Source organism: Homo sapiens, chromosome 14 (assembly GCF_000001405.40).
Source record: "Homo sapiens chromosome 14, GRCh38.p14 Primary Assembly".
Lineage (NCBI taxonomy): Eukaryota > Metazoa > Chordata > Mammalia > Primates > Hominidae > Homo > Homo sapiens.
In genome coordinates, this window is record NC_000014.9 from 49,917,190 (window position 1) to 49,940,174 (window position 22,985).

Here is a 22,985-nt window from a genome sequence, read left to right on the forward strand (position 1 = left end):
ATTTGGTCAAGAACTCCAAAATTTGTGTTTTACCACTCTGTAGTCCTTAGTGTGCTGGCTTGTGGATTTACGATTCCAAGATATCTGCTGCAGCTCTAAGTACTTGTGCCTGTTTTCAAGGCAGGAAGGAAGAGGAGGCAGAACCATTGGCTGGAATTCATCACATGGCCTTTCCTAACTACAAAGGAGTCTCAGAAAAGAAGCACTTACCTTCTATACTCTCTAGTGGAAGAGGACAGGATGAAAGGGATTGATAATGGGTTTTGAGTTAGCTTTATCAAAGAGAATCATGGTCAAAAAGCTGGCTGGGCGTGGTGGCTCACGCCTGTAATCCCAGCACTTTGGGAGGCCGAGATGGGGGCCAATCACGAGGTCACGAGACCATCCTGGCCAACATGGTGAAACCTCGTCTCTACTAAGGATACAAAAATTAGCTGGGTGTATTGTAGCATGCCTGTAGTCCCAGCTACTTAGGAGCCTGAGGCAGGGGAATCGCTTGAACCTGGGAGGCAGAGATCATGCCATTGCACTCCAGCCTGGCACAGAGCGAGACTCCATCTCAAAAAAAAAAAAGAAAACTGAGAGACACTGTTTTAAAAGTTCTTTTAGACCAGATTTAGATAAGCCAAGAGTAGGAAATTCCAGGTAATGGGTCAGCATGAGCTTAGAATGGAATGAACATTGTGGGTTGGTTCACAGGACATTGATGAGCCCAGCCCTATTAGGTGGAGAATAATGTTAAGAAGCAATGGAAGGTGAGGGTGGGGCTTAGCTTGGCTGTAGTAATTAATAGGGCACCTCTAAAGGGTTTTGAACAGGGGAGTAAGATGTGAAGAACGGGTTTGGAGAAACATTTGACAATATGAATTATAAGATGAGCTAGGAGGTAAGGAATCCAGGACACTGCTGTGATAATACAGCTGTGAAATGCTAATTATTAATGTTGAAACATTGTATAATTCCAATATTCAACCATTTTTGACCTATAATATCATTAGATTCATTCATATTTGAGGTGATGGTAGGATGTCCAAATGGAAAATCTAATAAGTAGATGACAATATAGGACTCAGTTTTTGAGAGTAGAATATTGGAGGAAATTTTGAATTTCTTGATGAAAGTAGATACTTTCCATCCTATATTATCCGGATTTCATTTCCTTTCAACATTGAAGCTGTCACTTTGTGATGGCTTTAGCGCCCACATTTCTTTCTTTCTTTTTTTTTTTTTTGAGACAGAGTCTTGCTCTGTCTCCCAGGCTGGAGTGCAGTGACGCAATCTCGGCTCACTGCAACCTCTGCCTCCTGGGTTCAAGCGATTCTCGTGCCTCAGCCTCCTGAGTAGCTGGGATTACAGGCGCCCGCCACCACTCCCAGCTAATTTTTGTATTTTTAGTAGAGACGGGGTTTCACCATGTTGGCCAGGATGGTCTTGATCTCCTGACCTCGTGAACCACCCACCTCGGCCTCTCAAAGTGCTGGGATTACAGGCGTGAGCCACCGTACCCGGCCTTGACCCACACTTATTTCCAGGCTCCATACTCTTATATTCAACTGCTCACAAGGCATCTGCTCTTGGATATCTCAATGGACTCTTCAAACTCAACATATCTGAAAAAGATATTTTCTTCCTTCCCCTTGCCTCATCCCTCTCATTCTTGTCTCATATTCTTTTTTTTTTTATTTATTGGTATCAATGTCCAACTAGCTGACTAGACTCAAAACTTTGGACTTTGATTGTTCCCTCTTTTTACCTCCTACATTCTTTTGCTCATAGATCTGATAAATTCTGCCTCTTGAATCTATCTTTCCTCTTCGTCTCCTACTGCCACTCTCTTAGTTTAGGCTCCTATCACTTCTCACCTGGATTATTGAAATGCATCTTACCTGCTTAAGTCCTAGCGGGGAAATAGCCACACGGTTACCAAAGGGGTCATTTTAAAATACAAATATGGGGCCGGGCGCGGTGGCTCACGCCTGTAATCCCAGCGCTTTGGGAGGCCGAGGCGGGCGGATTATGAGGTCAGGAGATCGGCCATCCTGGCTAACACTGTGAAACCCTGTCTCTACTAAAATTACAAAAAATTAGCCGGGCGTGGTGGCGGGCGCCTGTAGTCCCAGCTACTCAGGAGGCTGAGGCAGGAGAATGGCGGGAACCCGGGAGGCGGAGCTTGCAGTGAGCCCAGATTGAGCCACTGCACTCCAGCCTGGGTGACAGAGCAGGACTCCGTCTCAGAGAAAAACAAAAAAACAAAAAAACAAACAAAAAAAAACACAAATATGGGCCGGGCGCGGTGGCTCATGCCTGTAATCCCAGCACTTTGGGAGTCCGAGGCGGGCAGATCACGAGGTCAGGAGATTAAGACCATTCTGGCTAACATGGTGAAACCCCGTCTCTACTAAAAATACAAAAATTAGTTGGGCGTGGTGGTGCGTGCCTGTAATGCCAGCTTCTAGGGAGCCTGAGGCAGGAGAATCCCTTCAACCAGGGAGTCGGAGGTTGCAGTGAGCCGAGATTGTGCCACTGCACTCCAGCCTGGTGACAGAGTGAGACTCCGCCTCAAAAAAAAAAAAAAAAAAAAAAAAAAGAAAGAAAGAAAGAAAGAAAAAACATAAATAAAAATACAAATATGATCATGTCTCTTTCTTGCTTAACCCCTTTCAATGGCTTTCAATGCATAGTGAATAAATTTGAAACTCATTAGCAGGGCTTAGAAGACTTTCCACAGCACCCACTTTATCTCCAGCTGTGTATCTTTGCATCTCCTTGCACTCCCCTAATTGCTCCACACCAAACTTCTTGTCCTTTTCTAGACATGCTATGCTGTGTCGTAATTACATGCCTTTGCATCAATTGTTCTCTTTGCCTGAAATTGTCATTTTCACCTTTGAACATTTTGGTCATCCTTTAGCAATGTACTTTTATGAAGACTTCTCAGACGTGTCATTCCCTTCTTTCTGCTTTCCTGGTAATTCACATTAATCTTTAGTAGAACAGTTACCACAATATATAGTTGTTATGCAAGTGTTTCTTCTCTGCATCATGAACAATGTGTTCTTGGTGTGTCCTGGTGCCTGGTTCATAGTTGGTGCTCAATATATATTTCTTCAGTACATTGCCATGAATGTGGATAAGTTGTCCCCTGAAGAAAGAATAGGACAGGGTGGCAAGGACTGCTCAAAGGAATGCTTATAATTAGAGGATGGAGAAAAACCAATAATCAGAGGATCAGTCAGACAAGAATAATTCATTTCCCATGTTATGGAGCCCCATACTGGGTATAAGGAAGTATACTGGCATGCTAAGCTAATGATAAGTTTGTTTTGGCTTTGCTTTGTCTCCAGGTTACAATCAGTACAGATATCTAAGGCAGAACTTTTCTGTTACCTTGATTTGTAATTTCAGAAACAACTCTTATAAGTACTGTTTATTTTCTTTTCTTTTTTCTTTTTTTTTTGAGACGGAGTCTTGCTCTGTCGCCCAGGCTGGAGTGCAGTGGCATGATCTCGGCTCATTGCAAGCTCTGCCTTCCGGGTTCATGCCATTTTCCTGCCTCAGCCTCCCGAGTAGCTGGCACTACAGGTGGCCACCACCACGCCCGGCTAATTTTTTGTATTTTTAGTAGAGACAGGGTTTCACCATGTTAGCCAGGATGGTCTCGATCTCCTGACCTCGTGATCCACCCACCTCAGCCTCCCAAAGTGTTGGGATTACAGGTATGAGCCACTGCACCCGGCCTCGTTTCTTAAAGGTACTCAACCATTCAGTTTTTGTACTGAAGTACGAATTAATTTTAATTTGGTGAGGAGACACATGGAGGGAAAATACCTTAATCTAGAAAGCCCAGGGGGAAGGAAGTTCCCTTCTAGAGTCTCAGCAAGTTGACACAGCCCCTTTGTTGTATTTTGAAATCATATATACTTGCTGGGGATGTTATTGGCCATGCTCACTGTTGGTCTCCTGACTACTCAGCTCCCAGAAAGTGAAAGTTGAGTGCCAGACATGGTGTTCAGTCCCCTCTTACGCTTATGCTTACTGACCACAGAAGTGACATTATTATATTAATTGTAACCAGAGGCAAAAATGAACATTATGCTCCAATATTAATTTCCAATTATGTATAACCTAGTGCTTATATTCCATTCCATGTAAAAAAAAACACTCCTTGATTTTTTGTGGTTTCACGGTCTAGTGATTAACTCCAACGTGTAACATGTGTTATCCAATGCCTATATAGAGTATTTACACTAATCTTCCTATTCTGGCTGTTATTTAGGTGATCACTATGTTCATATATTCTGTTGAATATTTTATTTTTTACTTCCCTTTGGTCTTGATTTCTAGGACTCTAGGACTCTAGGACTATTTCTAGGAATAGAGTTTATACTCTATTCCTCTTGGGTTTGTGCCATATATGTTTGCTTATTTCCTAATCCAATTTTCCAAGTCATAGCCTCACCAACTGCCTCTCCTTTCACTAACCTATCTTACTGCCAACATCTTTTTCTGACCAACCCCCAAGATACCCTCCGTAGACTCTGGGCTTAGTTAGCCTACCTATAGTCATCCTCTTTAACTTTTTTCCTTAATTTTTTTTATTCTCTTGAATTTTCCTGTCTGAATTTTAACTTCTCTAACTAACCTCACATTAAGCCTTTATAATTATAAAAGTGAGCCATGGTCTTTATGAAAAATTGGAAAAATATAAAAACAACTGGAGTGGAGAAGAAAATAATCTCCAGATTCACTACCCAATGAAAACTACTAGTATAGATATTTTTATTCTTTTTCAATTTTCTCTTAGCATGAAAATGTATTTCCCTATGTTATAAACTCTTTAGAAATGTAACTTGTAATGATACTATATGTTCCACCTTTAAGATTACAATACCATTCTTTTGTATTACGATATTGACTTAAAAAAGACTGTTGATAGCCGGGTGCAGTGGCTGATTCCTGTAATCCCAGCACTTTGGGAAGCTGAGGCAGGAGGATCACTTGAGCTCAGGAGTTTCAGACCAGCCTGGGCCACATAGTGAGACCCCATCTCAAGAAAGCATCAAATAATTATCCTGGCTGGGCACGGTGGCTCACGCCTGTAACCCCAGCACTTTGGGAGGCCGAAGCGGGTGGATAACTTGAGGTCAGCAGTTCAAGACCAGCTTGACCAACATGGTGAAACCTCATCTCTACTAAAAATACAAAATTAGCCAGGCATGGTGGCACACGCCCATAATCTAAGCTACTTGAGAGGCTGAGGCAGGAGAATCGCTTGAACCCAGGAGGCGGAGGTTGCAGTGAGCCGAGATCATGCCATTGCACTCTAGCCTGGGCAACAAGAGCAAAACTCCATCTCAAAAAAAAAAAAAATTATCTGGGTGGGGGGCACGTGTCTGTGCCTGTAGTCTCAGCCGTCCAGGAGGCTGAGGTGGCAGGCTTGCTTGAGCCTGGGAGGTCGAGGCTGCAGTGAGCCATGATTGTGCCACTGCACCCCAGCATGGACAACAGAGTGACACCCTGTCTCAAAAAAAAAAAAAAAAGAAAAAAAGTAAAAAGACTTGACATAATACCAAATTGCTTTCTGAGGGGATTAAATCAGTTTATGTTCCAACATCAGTGTGTGAGTGCCAGTCTCCTTGCATTTTTTCCAGTATTGAGTATTATTATGCTAATTTTATAGGCAAAATTTTCTCTTTAAACATTATCAAGAGCCCTGAAAAATAGCACCAATGATGTCATAGCTCTTAGGGTCAGAATTTAGGAGTTAAAGGGAGATACAGAAATCATCTAGTCTAGTTCTCTCATCATTCAAAGGAAAAAAAAAAAAGGATCTGCAGCAAGTTGATTTGCCAAGTGTCACAGGCAAATAATGATAGAGCTAAGGCTAGAGTTTAGGTTTCATGAGATGTGGTTCATTTTTTCCCATTCTGCTTCTTAACTTAGTATAGAAATTAAACCTCATTTTGTATTAGATATTGTCTTAGCTACAGTTTTTAAGATGGATCAAAAGACAGATTTTTTTTCAAAGAACTCCTTTAGTCACATAAAATTTTTATAGCTGTCTTTTTTTTTTCTCAAATTTCCTGAGTAGTTTATCAGTTAATAAAAAATTACCCAGCACTGGCATAAACTCATATAACAAAAATTCTGATATATTTATAATCTAATGCCCGAAATGTCATGGCTTAAATGATAATAATTTCTTCTCTCTCATGTTTTCTGCAGTTCAAGAATTCAGGAGCATCTTGGCTAGGTAATTCTGTCTTGGAGTCTCCTCTGAGCTTGCTATCAGCTGTCAGGGCTGTAGTCATCCAAAGGCTTCACTGGGGCTGCAGGATCCACTTCCACAATGGCTGACCTCCCCCACTCCCTCCCTTCCTCCCTTCCTCCCTTCCTTCCTTCCTTTTTCTTTCTTTTTTCTTTCTGTCATCCAAAGGCCTGACTGTGGCTGGAGGATACACTTCCACAGTGTGGCTTCTTTCTCTTCCTTCCCTTCCTTCCCTTCCTCCCTTCCTCCCTTCCTTTTTCTTTTCTTTTCTTTGTTTTCTTTTCTCTTTTCTTTCTTCTTTCTTTTCTTTCTCTCTCTCTCTTTTTTTGAGACAGGGTCTCACTCTGTAGCCCAGGCTGGAGTGCAGTGGTGTGATCACGGTTCACTGTAACCTCCACCTCCCAGGCTCAGGTGATCTGCCCACCTCAGCCTCCTGAGTAGATGGGACTACAGGTACGTACCGGACAGTGGCTCACTTTCATGATTGGCAGGTTGCTGCTGATTGATGGCAGGATGCCTGTTTTTCTCCACATGGGCCTCTGTACAGAACTGCTTGACTGTCCTCACAGGATGGCTGCTAGCTTTCCTCAGAGTGAGCAAGCGAAGAGAGCACAGCAGAAGCTGCAATGCCTTTTATAATCCAGCATCAGAGGTCACACACCCTTGGCCAAGCATGGTAGCTCATGCCTGCAATCTCAGCACTTTGGAAGGCCGAGGCAGGAGGATTGCTTGAGCCCAGGAGTTCAAGACCTGGGCAACACAGGGAGACCCCATCTCTCCAAAATTCAAAAATTAGCCAGTTGTGATGGCACAAGCCTGTGGTCCTAGCTACTTGGGAGGCTAGGGTGGGAGGGTCACTTGAGCCTGAGAGCTCAAGGCTGCAGTGAGTTGAGATCATGCCACTGCACTCCAGCCTGCTCAACAGAGCAGCACCATGTCTCAAAAGAAAAAAAAAAAAAAAGGCACACTCCCTCATTCCTGTTCTGTTCTGTTGATCATACAGACCAGCCCTGATTTATTTTGGGAGGGGCTACTGAAAGGTGTGAAGGTGTGAATATCAGCAGTTGAGGGTCACAGGAGACCATCTTAGATGCTGGCCACCGTAGTAGGAAATCCACAGCTTGTAATGACTCAGGTATGCTATCATGGACCCAAGCTCTTTCTAATCTTGCTATTCTCCCATCCCTAGTTATAAGCCTTTGTCCTACCTATGGTTGCAATATGGCTGTGGCACCTTCAGGTTTTTTTTTTGTTTTGTTTTTTGTTTTTTTAGATACAGTCTTGCTCTGTCACCCAGACTGGAGTGTAATGGTGTGATCACAGCTCACTGCAGCCTCAACCTCCAGGGCTCAAGCAATTCTCCTGAGCAGCTGGGACTACAGTTGTGTGCCACCACGTCCTGCTCATTTTAAAATATTTTTGTAGAGACAAGGTCTTGCAATGTTGCCCAGGCTGGTCTAGAACTCTTGGACTCAACCGACCATCCTACCTTGGTCTCCCAAAGTAATGGAATTACAGGCATGAGCCACTGGGCCCACCAGGTGTCTTGCATTTAGGTGTCAGGCTGAAAGATGGGGGAAGTGAAATAAGGGGTACTAGTCAACTTCCACTTGTAGCCCATTGGCCAAGACTGTCAAGTGACCTCCCTAAGCCATACAGACATCTAGGAGATTGAGTTTCTAACTTTGATAACTTCTTCAGTAGAGTCAGTCAAGGGAGAAGGGTGTTAGAAACGTAGGCTGGTCAGCACGCAGTGTCTGCCACAACCACAGGTAGCTTTTGTTACCCTAGTGAGGTGCTGGTAATATAATACTTAATAATGAATGGGTACCCATTCAATATTATACTTTTTTTTTTTTGAAGCAAAGTCTCACCCTGTCGCCCAGGCTGGAGTGCAGTGGCGCCATCTCAGCTCACTGCAACCTCCGCTTCCCAGTTCAAGTGATTCTCCTGCCTCAGCTTCCCAAGTAGCTGGATTACAGGCTCCTACCACCACACCCAGCTAATTTTTGTATTTTTAGTAGAGACAGCGTTTCACCATGTTGGCCAGGCTGGTCTTAAACTCCTGACCTCAGGTGATCCACCCGCATCAGCCTCCCAAAGTGCTAGGATTACGGGTGTGAGCCACCACGCTGGCCTCAATATTATACATTCTTGTAGGTAATTATGGAAGAATTTTTAAAATAATAAAACAGACTTTCCCTCTTAGAATTTTTAAGAGAAAGCAGTGATTGAAGATCCAGTTTAAGAAGAACCAAAAAGAAAATTGGATATGCAAAATAATGCTTTATAGATGGTTTTATGTGTAGGTGTCTGCTATAACAGATTTAGGGTGTTCTACATGTATTTAAGTGGTATCCTAAGGCTAGTGTGGTGGCACACACCTGTAGTACCAGCTACTGGGAGGCTGAGAAGACTGCTTGAGCCAAGGAGTTTAAGGCAGCAATGAGCTTTGATCGAGCCACTGTACTCCAGCCTGGGTGACAGAGTGAGACACTGTTCTCTTAAAGAAAAAAAAAAGTGGTACCTTAGCATCATAAAAACATGAGTTCTATTTTTCTTTTTTCTTTTTTTTGAGACAGAGTCTTGCTCTGTCGCCCAGGCTGCAGTGCAGTGGCGCAATCTCGGCTCACTGCAAGCTCCGCCTCCCGGGTTCACGCCATTCTCCTGCCTCAGCCTCCTGAGTAGCTGGGACTACAGGCGCCCGCCACCATGCCTGGCTAATTTTTTGTATTTTGTAGTAGAGACAGGGTTTCACTGTGTTAGCCAGGATGGTCTTGATCTCCTGACCTCGTGATCCGCCCTCCTCGGCTTCCCAAAGTGCTGGGATTACAGGCGTGAGCCACCACACCCGGCCCTATTTTTCTATTTTAATGTGAATGTTATGCTACCCATGATAGTATCACAACGCTTATGTTTATGTCATATTTTCTTCTCTACCATCAATTTCTTAGTTAACATTTATTGTTGACTGAAATATATAAATTGTCATTGCCCTTGAGGAGTTTATAGTTAGGGAGGTAATATATACAGAAAGTTTTAGATCGCTTGTAAAAACATGTAACAAAGGAAATGTTATACAATTTGGGGGGATAAAGTAGAAGATAATGTTTCAATAAATATAAACAATTTGAATTTAATACAACTAAATTCTTCAAATTAAAGGGATCAACTCGGATAAGGCAGTGATTGAGGCAGAGAAAAAAACTAGAAAAGGTGATTTGTATGCTCTTAGCTCCATTATGAGAGGTGATGTTTGTATTTTCTGCTGTACTTCATCCCTTGGGGTTGTTCTGGAGTCATAAGCCCTTATATACCTTTGGATTGTATTGAGGGATGTTATATTTAAAAAGGTAATTTGATACTCAGGGTTGTATTTATCATGGTATTATGAGAGTTCGGGCTACAGTACTACTCAGTGTCTTCTATAGGAGAACCAACAGTCCCAGTGTCAGAGTCCTTAAGGTAAAAACTTATTAGCTGTTGTCCTGACACGGATTATTTGTTCTCCTACAGAAGACACTGAGTAATACTGTAGCTCAACAACAGCTGTACCTTAAGGACAGCATACATCCTGTAACTAGTCATGTTTCCCTCTTTGTTTAGGGCACTAAGAAGCTCAGAGTCTAATTAAGTGAAGCACCTTTAATAATCATGAACCCCTTATCTCATGCATTCATTTCTCTCTACTAATGCTTCCTGGCTTCATCATACTTATGGGCCCTTGTTCTTTCTTCACTTTGATTTTCATGGTCTTTTTGTTTTTTTCATCTTATGTGAATTTTTTTTTTTTTTTTTTTTTTGAGATGGAGTCTCACTCTGTCACCCAGGCTGGAATGCAATGGCGTGGTCTTGGTTCACTGCAACCTCCGCCTCCCGGGTTCAAGTGATTCTCCTGCCTCAGCCTCCTGAGTAGCTGGGACTACAGGCACCTGCCACCATGCCCGGCTAATTTTTGTATTTTTAGTAGAGACGGGCCTTGTGATCCACCTGCCTCGGCCTCCCAAAGTGCTGGGATTACAGGCGTGAGCCACCGCGCCTGGCCATCTTATGTGAATTTTTATAATCTGCAAACACTTTTTAGAATTAGGAAAAATTTTTTTTTCTTTTTTTGGCTGAGCATAGGGGACTTTATTGATGGTAGATGACAAGGTGGGGCTTCCAAGGCCCTTCCCTTTTCAGGGGGTCTGCATGGAAATTGCGGGGAGGGGAGATTCTCAGTGTGGCAGGGAACTGGACACGTCAGGGACTCACCAGCAGCTGAGGGCCTCTCTCTTCCTCTTGTGTTTTTGCTGGGGCTAGTGGTCTGGGGGTCTTATTCCTTAGAGGCCGTGTGGGCCATGAGGTCCACCATCCTGTTGCTGTAGCCAAGAATAAGGAAGAATATTTTAACTGAAAAATAAAACTGCTTATACGCCCACCAAAGTGGCTAAAACTAAAAAGACAACACCAAACATTGGCGGTGAGGTAGGGCAATTGGAACCCTCAAATATTGTGGTGGTAATGTAAAATGTATGACTTTTTTGGGAAAAGGTCTGGCAGTTTCTTATAAAATTAAATATACCTACTTGTGACCCAGAAAAATGACCACATGTTAATAAAAAGACTTGCACAAAATGTTCACAGCAGCTTTATTCATAATAGCCCCAAACTGGAAATAGTCAATGTGTCTATCAGTATGAGAATGGTATATTTATACATGTGGTATATTTATACAGCAGACCACAACTCAGCAGTAAAAAGTGACTACTGACACATAAAACAACATGAATCTCAAAAACACTACGCTGGGCAAAATAAACCATACACAAAAGAGTATGTATTCTATGATTCCATTTATATGACATTCTTGAACAAACAAAGCTAATCTGTGGTAGAAAAAAATCAGATGGTGACAGTGTGCATGTGAGGGCATGAAGTGTGGACTAACTGGGAAGAGGGATCGGGGAACTTTTGGGGTAATGATAATGTTCTATATTTTGCCAGTGGTTGGGTTATACATATGTATGCATTTATCCAAACTCAGCAAATACACATTTAGAGTGTACATTTCATTGTATATAAATCTTACATAAAACTATAAACAAATATTACATTCTGTTTAATAATATGCATCCCAAAGTACTTAGGGAAAAATGTAGTGATGTCTAATTTTCTTTGAAATGCATCAAAAAATAAGATGAATTAATGATGAATAGCGGGATGATAGAATGATATGGGAAGCAAAATAAAATGGTAATGCTTAAATCTAGGAAGTGGGTACATAGGTATTTACTATAAAGTTATTTCAGCTGCTCTTTAAGACTTTTCATAATAAAATATTGGGGGGAAATGCCCTTAACCTTCCTTTAGTGTGTTCTGGCTGGATATAACTTTTTCTTTTAATATCTTACATAAGTGTTAAAGCCTTTCTCCTCAGGGGGAATTTATGTCACACTTTTCAGAATTTACATAATATCTAATTTAAGCTGTTTTAAAGTAATCAGTTAATGACCTTTAATCTAGATATAACTTTATTTATTTATTTTTTTTGAGATGGAGTTTTGCTCTGTTGCCCAGGCTGGAGTACAGTGGCATGATCTCAGCTCACTGCAACCTCCACCTTGTGGGTTCAAGTGATTCTCCTGCCTCAGCCTTCCAAGTAGCTGGGACTACAGGCGTGTGCCACCACACCTGGCTAATTTTTGTACTTTTAGTAGAGTTTGGGTTTCACCATGTTGACCAGGCTGGTCTTGAACTCCTGGGTTCAAGTGATCCTACCACTTGGCCTCCCAAAGTGCTGGAATTATAGGCATGAGCCACTGCGCCCAGATCTTTTTAACTTTTAAAAGATTTAATTGACAAATAAATACTGTATATATTCAAAGTGTACAACACGATGATTTGGTTTGCATACACATTGTGTAATGATTTTATTTTTTCTTTTTCATTCACTTATTTCCTGAACTCCGGCAGCTTACGTTTTACCTCCTTTGGTCATCTCACCTTCTCTTCTTCAAGATATTACTTCTGTTTTATGATTGTTTTGTGGAAACAATTGCTTCATTACATTTTTTAAAAAATTTACAGCAAGAGACCGGGTGTGGTGGCTCACGCCTGTAATCCCAGCACTTTGGGAGGCTGAGGAGGGCGGATCACCTGAGGTCAGGAGTTCGAGACCAGCCTGACCAACATGATGAAACCCCGTTGCTACTAAAAATACAAAAATTAGCTGTGGCACATGCCTGTAATCCCAGCTACTTGGGAGGCTGAGGCAGGAGAATTGCTTGGACCTGAGAGGCAGAGGTTGCAGTGAGCTGAGATTGTGCCATTGCACTTCAGCCTGGGGAACATGAGCGAGACTCCATCTCAAAAAAAAAAAAAAAATTTGCAGCAAAATGTTCAAAATTTTAATCTGCTCTGAGGTAATGTTTTCTTTTCTTTTTTCTTTTTTTTTTTTTTGAGACGCAGTCTCATTCTGTCACCCAGGCTGGTGTGTTGTGGCATGATCTCGGGTTACTGCAACCTCTGCCTCCTGGGCTCAAGTGATTCTCGTGCCTTAGCCTCCCAAGTAGCTGGGTGTGCCACCACACCCGCTAATTTTTCTATTTTTAGTAGAGACAGGGTTTCATCATGTTGCTCAGGCTGGTCTCGAACTCCTAACCTCAGGTGATCCCCCTTCCTCACCCTCCCAAAGTGCTGGGATTACAGGCGTGAGCCACTGAGCCTGGCCTGAGGTAATGTTTTCATGGTGATTATTCATCAGCATTTGTTTTTCTGTTTCTTTTTCATTTCCTTTTTTTTTTTTTGAAGCAGAGTCTCGCTCTGTCACCCAGGCTGGAGTGCAGTGGCACCATCTCAGCTCACTGCAATCTCCACCTCCCAGGTTCAAGTGATTCTCCTGCCTCAGCCTCCCAAGCAGCTGGGATTACTGGCACGCACCACCGTGCCCAGCTACTTTTTGTATTTTTAGTAGAGACAGGGTTTCGCCATGTTGGTCAGGCTGGTCTTGAACTCCTGACCTCAGGTGATCTGCCCACCTTGGCCTCTCAATGTGCTGGGATTACAGGCGCGAGCCACTGCACCCGGCCTAATTTTTGTTTTTTTAGTAGAGACAAGGTTTCACCATGTTGACCAGACTGGTCAACCACTCAAACTCCTGACCTCAAGTGATCTGCCCGCCTTGGCCTCCCAAAGTGCTGGGATTACAGGCATGAGCCACAGCGCTCAGCCTCTTTTTCATTTTCTTCCTTAAATCTTTTTTGGTTCTTTTTTGACTGTTCATCTTTGAATGAAGTGAATTTTCTTAGCTCAACTATTTACAGGAGATTTGTGTTGTGAAGGGGTCAGGGACATCTTCTGTATCAGTGGGAATTTTTCTTTTGATCCAGGGTTTTGCATATGAGATACTTTAGCCTTTTCTTCTTCGCAGGCAATGAAGACAGGCAGCTGCACAGCTGTGCACAGTGGGATCTCTTCTCACTTCTCATGAACATGTGGCTTCCTGTGAATATGACTTGTGTGTGGAGTTCTAATTTAGTCCCAATTTCTCTGCTACTCAAAATCAAAATGGGTCCAGAGAAACTGGTGCTACCAGCCTACCCACCTGTGTTAGTCAGTTGGAACTGCCGTAACAAAATACAACAAACTCAGTGGCTTAAAACATCAGGAATTTATTTTCTCACAGTTCTGAAGGCTAGAAGTGTGAAATCAAGGGGTCTGAGGGTTGGTCCTTCTTGAGGCTCTGAAGGAGAGTGTGCTCCATGCCTCTCTCCTCGCTGCTGGTGGTAGCCCTGGCATTCCTTGGTTTGTAGACGCATCACTACAATCTCTGTCTCCGTCTTTGAATGCTGGTCTCCTTTCTATGTCCGTGTCTACATTTTCCTCTTTTTTTTTTTTTGGAGACAGGGTCTTACTCTGTCACCCAGGCTGGAGTGCAGTGGCACAATCTCGGCTCACTGCAACCTCCACCTCCTGGGTTCAAGTGATTCTCCAGCCTCCGCCTCCCAAGTAGCTGGGATTACAGGTGTGCACCACCATGCCAGGCTAATTTTTTTGTATTTTTAGTAGAGATGGGGTTTCACAATGTTGGCCAGGCTGGTCTTGAACTCCTGACCTCAAATGATCCGCCTGCCTTGGCCTCCCAAAGTGCTGGGATTGCAGGTGTGAGCCACTGAACCCTGCCATTTTCCTCTTCTTATAAGGACACCAGTCGTTGTATTAGGACCCATCCTAATCTAGTATAACCTCACCCTAAGGATTACATCTACAGAGACCCTATTTCCAAATATGGTCACATTCACAGGTACCAGGGGTTAGGACTTTCACATATCTTCTGGGTGGGGGGTCACAAATCCATAACACTGCCTTCTTCCCATTGTTGCACAAATGGGGCTATTACTTTTTTTTTTTTTAACTTCAGTATACACATCTCACTGGGTGAGCTATTAAGCTCTTACTGAGCTCTTCTGGGGCCCACTCTCGGCCTCCTGTTGTGCCTTTCCTCACAAGCCTTTGCTTTTGGTACCCCTTACACTTATTTTACAGTTATTTTGTTTTACCTGTCTTAATTTTTTTTTAAATTGAGATAGGATTTTCATTCTGGTCTCTTGTGTCCTTTGTTTTGGGAGATGATTTCTGAGGGATGATGGAATTACCAACTTTATGTGACATCTTCAAGCAGGAAATGCCTTGGGTCTTTCTCATTCTTTAGGGGTCACTAACACACTGAACTGAATAAGAAAGGAAGATACTACCAGGGCGTGATGGCTCACGCCTATAATCCCAGCACTTTGGGAGGCCAAGGCAGGCGGATCACGAGGTCGGGAGTTCAAGAACAGCCTGGCCAACATGGTGAAACCCTGTCTCTACTAAAAATACAAAAATTAGCTGGGCATGGTGGTAGGCACCTGTAATCCCAGCTACTCAGGAGGCTGAGGCAGGAGAATTGCTTGAACCAGGAGGCAGAGGTTGCGGTGAGCAGAGATTGTGCCATTGCTCTCCAGCAGTCGAGCAACAAAGGCAAAACTCCATCTCAAAAAAAAAAAAAAAGATTAAAAAAAGGAAGATACTATTTTTAGTGCTTATTTCAGTAAGATGGCCTTCTAGTTTCTTAGTCTCAGCCTACCATGCCAGTTCTACCAACACTGTGTCATAGGTAGGAATTAATAGAATTTGCTTATATGGAGACTTAAAAAAAATCTTGCATATCGATTATATTGAGCTAGAATGCAATTTGAATTATTTTAAACTTTTCTATTATGGTAACAAAAACATAAAATTTAGCTTCTTTTTTTTTTTTTTTTTTGAGACAGTTTTGCTCTGTTGCCCAGGCTGAAGTGCAGTGGTCTGATCTCGGCTCACTGCAACCTCCACCTCCCAGGTTCAAGTGATTCTCCTGCCTCAGCCTCCCAAGTAGCTGGGACTACAGGCATGCACCACCATGCCTGGCTCATTTTTTTGTATTTTTAGTAGAGACTGGGTTTCACCATGTTGGCCAGACTGGTCTCGAACTCCTGACCTCAAGTGATCCACCCACCTCAGCCTCCCAAAGTGCTGGGATTACAGGTGTGAGCCACTGTGCCTGGCCAAAATTTACCATCTTAACTATTTTTAGGTTTATAGTTTGTTAGTGTTAAGGATATTTACATTGTTGTAAAACAGATCCCAAGAACATTTTCACCTTGCAAATATGGAATTTTATACCCATTAAACAGCAACTCCCCTTTAATCCCCTCCCACAGTCCCTGGTAAACCAATATTCTATGTTTGTTTCTATGAATTTTATGACTTTAGACACCTCATGTAAGTGGAACCATACAGTGTTTGTCTTTTGTGACTGGCCGATTTCACTTAGGATAATGTCCTCAAGGTTTGTTCATGTTGTAGCATGTGACAGAATGTCCTTCCTTTTTAAGGCTGTATAATATTCCATTGTATACATATAACACGTTTAAAAAATTCATTCATCCATTGATGGAGATTTGGGTTGCTTTCACTTCTTGGCTGTTGTGAAAAGTATTGCTAAGAACGTGGGTGCATTAGTTACGGTTCTCCAGAGAAATGGAACCAATAAAATATATAGAAAGAGATATAAAAAGACATTTCTTATAAGGAATTGACTCATGCGTTTATGGAGGCTGAGAAATCCCATGATCTGCCGTCTGCAAGCTGAAGGCCCAGGAAAACTGGTGATATCATTCTAGGCCTGAGAACCAGGGGAGGCAATGGTATAAGTCCTAGTCCGAGTCTGAAGGCCTGAGAACCAGGAGCTCTGATTGAGGGCAGGAGAAGATGGATATCCCAGCTCAAACAGAGAGCAAATTCACCCTTTCTGTCTTTTTGTTTGCTTCAGGCCCTCAACAGATTGGATAATACTGTTTTACCAGCTATCTGGACATCCTTTAGCCCAGTCATTTTTTTTTTGAGACAGAGTCTCGCTGTTGCCCAGGCTAAAGTGCAGTGGTGCAATCTTGGCTCACTGCCTCCTCCACCTCCCAGACTCAAACGATCCTCCTGCCTCAGCTTCCCAAGTAGCTAGGACTATAGGCGCATGCCTGATTTTTGTATTTTTTTGTGTTGATGGGGTTTCACCATGTTACCCGCGCTGGTCTCAAACTCCTAGGCTCAAGTGATCCTCCTGCCTCAGCCTCCCAAAGTGCTGGCATTACAGGGGTGAGCCACTGCGTCCAGCCCTAGCCCAGTTATTTGACACATAAACTACTGGATCATATGGTAATTCTATTTTTAATTTTTTGAGGAATCTCCATACTGTTTTCCATAGCAGCTGTTCCATTTTACATTCCCATCAACAGTGCACAGGGGTTCCAGTTTCTCTACATCCTCGTCAACACTTGTGATTTTTCAGTTTTTGATAGTAGCCTTCCTAACGGGTATGAGGCATATTCTTTACTTTTATATAACAACCATTGTCATACTGCTTTAATGTATGACAATTATAAAGTTAATAGTTCTTTTTCTCAGTACATAGCAAGTCTGTTTGGGTTGTGTCTTTATCACTATCATGTGTTGAAAGAAGTTTCTAATAGTTTTAATTATTTTTGCTCAGATTACTTATCAGCCCTGGGTGTACATTTTTAAAAAATAGACATCGAAAAAACTTTAAACCCATTTTGTCAACTTAAGGGACTTATTTCCAGGCATAGCCATTACTTCTTATATAGAATACAGTATTTTAAAAATTCTCAGTCCTAAAATGTTCCTGGAATCTGCTGATTTATTGAGATTTATTCTTGCTATACTTACTACTATGGTCTACTAAATACTTGACTCCACTGAATGCTAGTAACAGGTCTGCCTTTTCAAGTCTCTCCAACCTTGTGAATTTTCAATTACTACCACTTCAACTTCAATGTGATTCTTCTGAACTGCAGAGTCAGCAGTTACATTCTGCTGAGTAATGAATGCAAACTGCTCAGAATTACAGAACACTTAAAGCAACTCATTTTAACTATGTTTTTTTTTTTTTGCTGAAGATTGTGAGAGGTAACTGTAGCTACATAAATGATTTTTGGCAGGGTTGGCATTTAGAGGGAACCATTTATTTGCTTTTTGAACAACATTCCTGGGCCACTATTAACCTAAACATGTGAGAGCCAATATAGCACAGTGTTTAAGAACATGAGTTTTAAGCCCAACTGCCTGGGTTCAATTCTTGACTGTAAAAGCAGTGCGAGGGACGGGCTGGCGTGGTGGCTCAGGCTTGTAATCCCAGCACTTTGGGAGGTCAAAGCGGGAGGATCACTTGAGGTCAGGAGTTCAAGACCAGTCTGGCCAACATGGTGAAACCCCATCTCTACTAAAACTACAAAAATTAGCTGGGCATGGTGGCAGGCATCTGTAGTCCCAGCTACTCAGGAGGCTGAAGCAGGAGAATCTCTTGAACCTGGGAGGCGGAGGTTGCTGTGAGCCAAGATTGCGCCACTGCACTCCAGCCTGGGTAACACAGCAAGACTCCATCTCACACACACACACACACACACACACACAAAGCAAAAGAAAAAAACAGTTTGAGGTTAGGCAAGTTTCTTAACCTCTCTGTGCCTCAGTTTCTCCATCTGTAAAATGAAGATGGCTGTTATATTTTTTTTTCTTATTTTTTTACATAGAGATGGAATCTCACTATGTTGCAGATTGGTCTCAAATTCATGGCCTCAAGTGATCCTCCCGCCTCAGCCTCCCAAAATGTTGGGATTACATGTGTGAGCCACCGTGCCTGGCTGGCCTGTTAGATTAAATGAGTCACTGTATGTAAAGCACTTTGAACTGTGTCTAGCCTACAGTAGGCACTCTGTGAGGTTAGCTATCATGACAAGCATTATTGATTATCTTCATTGATTTCCTGGACCTAGCCAAACCAGCAGAGTGGCTGTTGACCAACTATGCTGATAATTATTAGTCTAGTTGGTGTTCAAAACTACTGCTATAGGCCAGGTGCGGTGGCACACACCTGTAATCCCAGCATTTTGGGAGGTGAGGTGGGTGGATCACTTGAGGTCAGGAGTTCATGACCAGCCTGATTAACATGGTGAAACACCGTCTCTACTAAAAAAAAAAAAAAAAATCAGGGGTGGTGGTGCATGCCTATAATCTGAACTACTTGGGAGGCTGAGACAAGAGAATTGCTTGTACCTGGGAGGCAGAGGTTGCAGTGAGCCAAGATGGCGCCATTGTACTCCAGCCTGGGCAATGAGAGCAAAAACTCTGTCTCGAAAAACAAAACAAAACAAAACAAAACTAAACTAAAAACAACTACTCCTGGGGCCAGGTACAATGGCTCACGCCTATAATCCCAGCAGCACTTTGGGAGGCCTAGGTGGGCAGATCACTTGAGGTCAGGAGTTTGAGACCAGTCTGGCTAACATGGTGATATGGTTTGGCTGTGTCCCCACCCAAATCTCATCTCAAATTCCCACGTGTTGTGGGAGGGACCTGGTAGGAGGTAATTGAATCATAGGGGAAAGTCTTTCCTGTGCTGTTCTCATGATAATGAATAAGTCTCATGAGATCTGATGGTTTTTTAAAAAAGAGGAGTTCCCCTGCACAAGTTCTCTCTTTGCCTGCCACCATCCATGTAAGATGTGACTCCCTCTTCCTTGCCTTCCGCCATGATTGTGAGGCTTTCCCAGCCACATGGAACTGTGAGTCCAATTAAACCTCTTTCTTTTGTAAATTGTACAGTCTCAGGTATGTCTTTATCAGCAGCATGAAAATGGACTAATATAGTAAATTGGTAACAGTAGAGTGGGGCACTGCTGAAAAGTTACCTGAAAATGTGGAAGCAACTTTGGAACTGGGTAATAGGCAGAGGTTGGTACCGTTTGGAGAGCTCAGAAGCAGACAGGAAAATGTGGGAAAGTTTGGAACTTCCTAGAGAGATGTTGAATGGCTTTGACAAAAATGCTGATAGTGATATGAACAATAAGGTCCAGGCCGAGATGGTCTCAGATGGAGATGAAGAACTGGTTGGGAATTGGAGCAAAGGTGACTCTTGTTATGTTTTAGCAAAGAGACTGGCAGCATTTTGTCCCTGCCCTAGAGATTTGTGGAACTTTGAACTCGAGAGAGATGACTTAGCGTATCTGATGGAAGAAATTTCTAAACAGCAAAGGATTCAAAAGGTGACTTGGGTGCTGTTAAAGGCATTCAGTTTTAGAAGGGAAGCAGAGCATAAACGTTTGGAAAATTTGCAGCCTGACAATGCGATAGAAAAGAAAATCCCATTTTTCTGAGGAGAAATTCAATCCAGCTGTAGAAATTTGTATAAGTAACAAGAAGATTAACAATGTTAATCCCCAAGACAATGGGGAAAATGTCTCCAGGGCATGTCAGAGGACTTCACAGCAACCCTCCCATCACAGGCCTGGAGGCCTAAGAGGAAAAAGTGGTTTCGTGGGCCAGCCCCAGGGTCCCCATGCTGTGTGCAGCCTAGGGACCTGGTGCCCTGCATCCCAGCCACTCCAGCCAATGGCTGAAAGGGGCCAATGTAGAGCCCAGGCATGGCTTCAGAAGGTGTAAGCCTCAAATCTAGGCAGCTTCCACTTGGTGTTGAAAAGTCAAGAATTGAGGTTTGGGAACTGCTGCCTAGATTTCAGAAGATATATGGAAACACCTGGCTGTCCAGGCAGAAGTTTGCTGCAGGGGCGAGGCTCTCATGGAGAACCTCTGCTAGGGCAGTGCAGAAGGGAAATGTGGGGTCAGAGCCCCCACACAGAGTTCCTACTGGGGCATCATGTAGTGGAGCTGTGAAAAGAGGGCCACCATCCTCCAAACACCAGAATGGTAGATCCACTGACAGCTTGCACCGTACACCTGGAAAAACCATGTATGCTCAATGCCAGTCCATGAAAGCAGCCAGGAGGGAGGCTGTACCCTGCAAAGCCGCAGGGGCGGAGCCTTCCAAGACCATGGAACTCACCTCTTGCATCAGCATGACCTGGATGTGAGACATGAAGTCAAAGGAGATCATTTTGGAACTTTAAGATTTGACTGCCCTGGTGGATTTTGGACTTGCATAGGGCCTGTAGCCCCTTTGTTTTGGACAATTTCTCCCACTTGGAATGGCTGTATTTACCTAATGCCCATACCCCCATTGTACCTAGGAAGTAACTAACCTGGTTTTGATTTTACAGGCTCATAGGTGGAAGGGATTTGCCTTGTCTCAGATGAGACTTTGGATGTGGACTTTCTTTTTTTTTTTTTGAGACAATGTCTTGCTCTGTCACCCAGGCTGGAGTGCAATGGCCTATTCTCAGCTCACTGCAACCTCTGCCTCCTAGGTCCAAGTGGTTCTGCTGCCTCAGCCTCCTGAGTAGCTGGGATTACAGGCACGTGCCACCATGCTTAGCTAATTTTTGTATTTTTAGTAGAGATGGGGTTTTACCATGTTGGCCAGGATGGTCTCGGCCTCCTGACCTCAGGTGATCCACCTGCCTCAGCCTCCCAAAGTGCTGGGATTACACGTGTGAGCCACCATGCCTGGCCTGGACTGTGGACTTTTGAGTCAATGCTGAAGTAAGACTTTGGGGGACTGTTGAAAATGCATGATTGGTTTTGAAATGTAAGGACATAAGATCTGGGCGGGGCCAGGGGCAGAATGATATGGTTTGGCTATGTCCCCACCCAAATGTCATCTTGAATTCCCATGTGTTGGGGAAGGGACCTGGTGGGAGTTAATTGAATCATGGGGCAAATCTTTCCCGTGCTGTTCTGATGATAGTGAATAAGTCTCATGAGATCTGATAGGTTTTTTGTTTGTCTGTTTGTTTGTTTGACTGTTTTTTGAGACGGAGTCTCGCTCTGTCACCCAGGCTGAAGTGCAGTGGCACCATCTTGGCTCACTGCAAGCTCCGCCTCCTGGGTTCAAGCCATTCTCCTCCCTCAGCCTCCCAAGTAGCTGGGACTACAGGTGCCTGCCACCATGCCTGGCTAATTCTAGTAGAGATGGGGTTTCACCGTGTTAGCCAGGATGGTCTTGATCTCCTGACCTCGTGATCCGCCCACCTTGGCCTCCCAAAGTGCTGGGATTACAGGTGTGAGCCACCACACCTGGCCAAGATCTGATAGTTTTAAAAAGAGGAGTTCCATGGCTGGGCATGGTGGCTCAGGCCTGTAATCCCAGCAGTTTGGGAGGCCGAGGCAGGCAGATCACTTGAGGTCAGGAGTTTGAGACCAGCCTGGCCAACATGGCGAAACCCCGTATCTACTAAAAATACAAAAATTAGCCAGGCATGGTGGCAGGTGCCTGTAATCCCAGCTACTTGGGGGGCTGAGGCATGAGAATTACTTGAACCTGGGAGGTGGAGGTTGCAGTGAGCTGAGATCACACCACTGCACTGCAGCTTGGGAGACAAGAGTACAACTCTGTCTTGAAGGAAAAAAAAAAAAAAAAAAAAAGAGGAGCTCCCCCACACAAGTTTTCTCTCTTTGCCTGCTGCCATCCATGTAAGACATGACTTGCTCCTCCTTGCCTTCTGCCATGATTGTGAGGCTTCACCAGCCATGTGGAACTCTAAGTCCAATTAAACCTCTTTCTTTTGTAAATTGCCCAGTCTCGGGTATGTCTTTATCAGTAGTTTGAAAACACACTAATACATGTGATGATACCCCATCTCTACTAAAAATACAAAAATTAGCCAGACATGGTGGCGTGCTCCTGTAATCCCAGCTACTCAGGAGGCTGAAGCATGAGAATCGCTTGAACCTGGGAGGCGGAAGCTGCAGTGAGCCGAGATGGCACCATTAGACTCCAGCCTGGGCAATACAGTGAGATTCTATCTCAAAAAAAAAAAGAGAGAAAAGAAAAAACCGTTAAAATAAATCACTGACTGGATAACTTGTGTGTAAAGGAGGAACTCGAAGCTTGAACTTCAGTATCTACCAGACAGGAGCTTCCATTCAAGAGATAAGGTACCTGAAGTCTCCAAGCACTGTGTCTGATACGTGGGTGTTCTGTGACCACCAGTTGAATCTGAATAGCTAATGATAACCTTTCAGAGTAAGAATGTTTAAACCCCTCATTCCAACTATGGAGAAGGAAGGGTAACGTACTGAGCACCAAGAAGCAAAAAGGTTTTGTTAGGAATAAGTTGACTGGTGACTCTGTAAGTGAATAAAAATTGCTGGCTCAGGAAATAAGCCTTCAGAAGGAAACGAACAAGATTAAATAATAGGATAAAGTTACTCTATCTGGTGTGGTGTGTTCCATGAATATTTTAGC

The 22,985-nt window shown here is 43.4% G+C and overlaps 1 long non-coding RNA gene across 1 annotated transcript in view, besides 4 other annotated features; it reads right to left on the reverse strand.

Annotated features, from left to right (window-relative positions):
- Positions 368-868: an enhancer, noted in NCBI's record as "H3K4me1 hESC enhancer chr14:50384275-50384775 (GRCh37/hg19 assembly coordinates)". NCBI's record gives its function as "activates a minimal SCP1, AML or CMV promoter by ChIP-STARR-seq in primed H9 embryonic stem cells {active_cell/tissue: H9 hESC(primed)}" and the evidence as "EXISTENCE:reporter gene assay evidence [ECO:0000049][PMID:30033119]".
- Positions 2,672-22,985, reverse strand: part of LOC100506446 (uncharacterized) — a 43,172-nt gene continuing 22,858 nt past the window's right edge. The window contains exons 5-6 of the long non-coding RNA XR_007064156.1: positions 10,523-10,629; positions 2,672-3,142 (exon numbers count right to left, since the gene is read on the reverse strand). This is a non-coding gene — a long non-coding RNA (uncharacterized LOC100506446). The remainder of the gene's footprint in view (positions 3,143-10,522; positions 10,630-22,985) is intronic.
- Positions 6,296-6,797: an enhancer, noted in NCBI's record as "H3K27ac hESC enhancer chr14:50390203-50390704 (GRCh37/hg19 assembly coordinates)". NCBI's record gives its function as "activates a minimal SCP1, AML or CMV promoter by ChIP-STARR-seq in naive H9 embryonic stem cells {active_cell/tissue: H9 hESC(naive)}" and the evidence as "EXISTENCE:reporter gene assay evidence [ECO:0000049][PMID:30033119]".
- Positions 13,092-13,141: an enhancer, noted in NCBI's record as "active region_8329". NCBI's record gives its function as "activates an Ori minimal core promoter by ATAC-STARR-seq in GM12878 lymphoblastoid cells {active_cell/tissue: GM12878}" and the evidence as "EXISTENCE:reporter gene assay evidence [ECO:0000049][PMID:35858748]".
- Positions 14,725-15,226: an enhancer, noted in NCBI's record as "OCT4-NANOG hESC enhancer chr14:50398632-50399133 (GRCh37/hg19 assembly coordinates)". NCBI's record gives its function as "activates a minimal SCP1, AML or CMV promoter by ChIP-STARR-seq in primed H9 embryonic stem cells {active_cell/tissue: H9 hESC(primed)}" and the evidence as "EXISTENCE:reporter gene assay evidence [ECO:0000049][PMID:30033119]".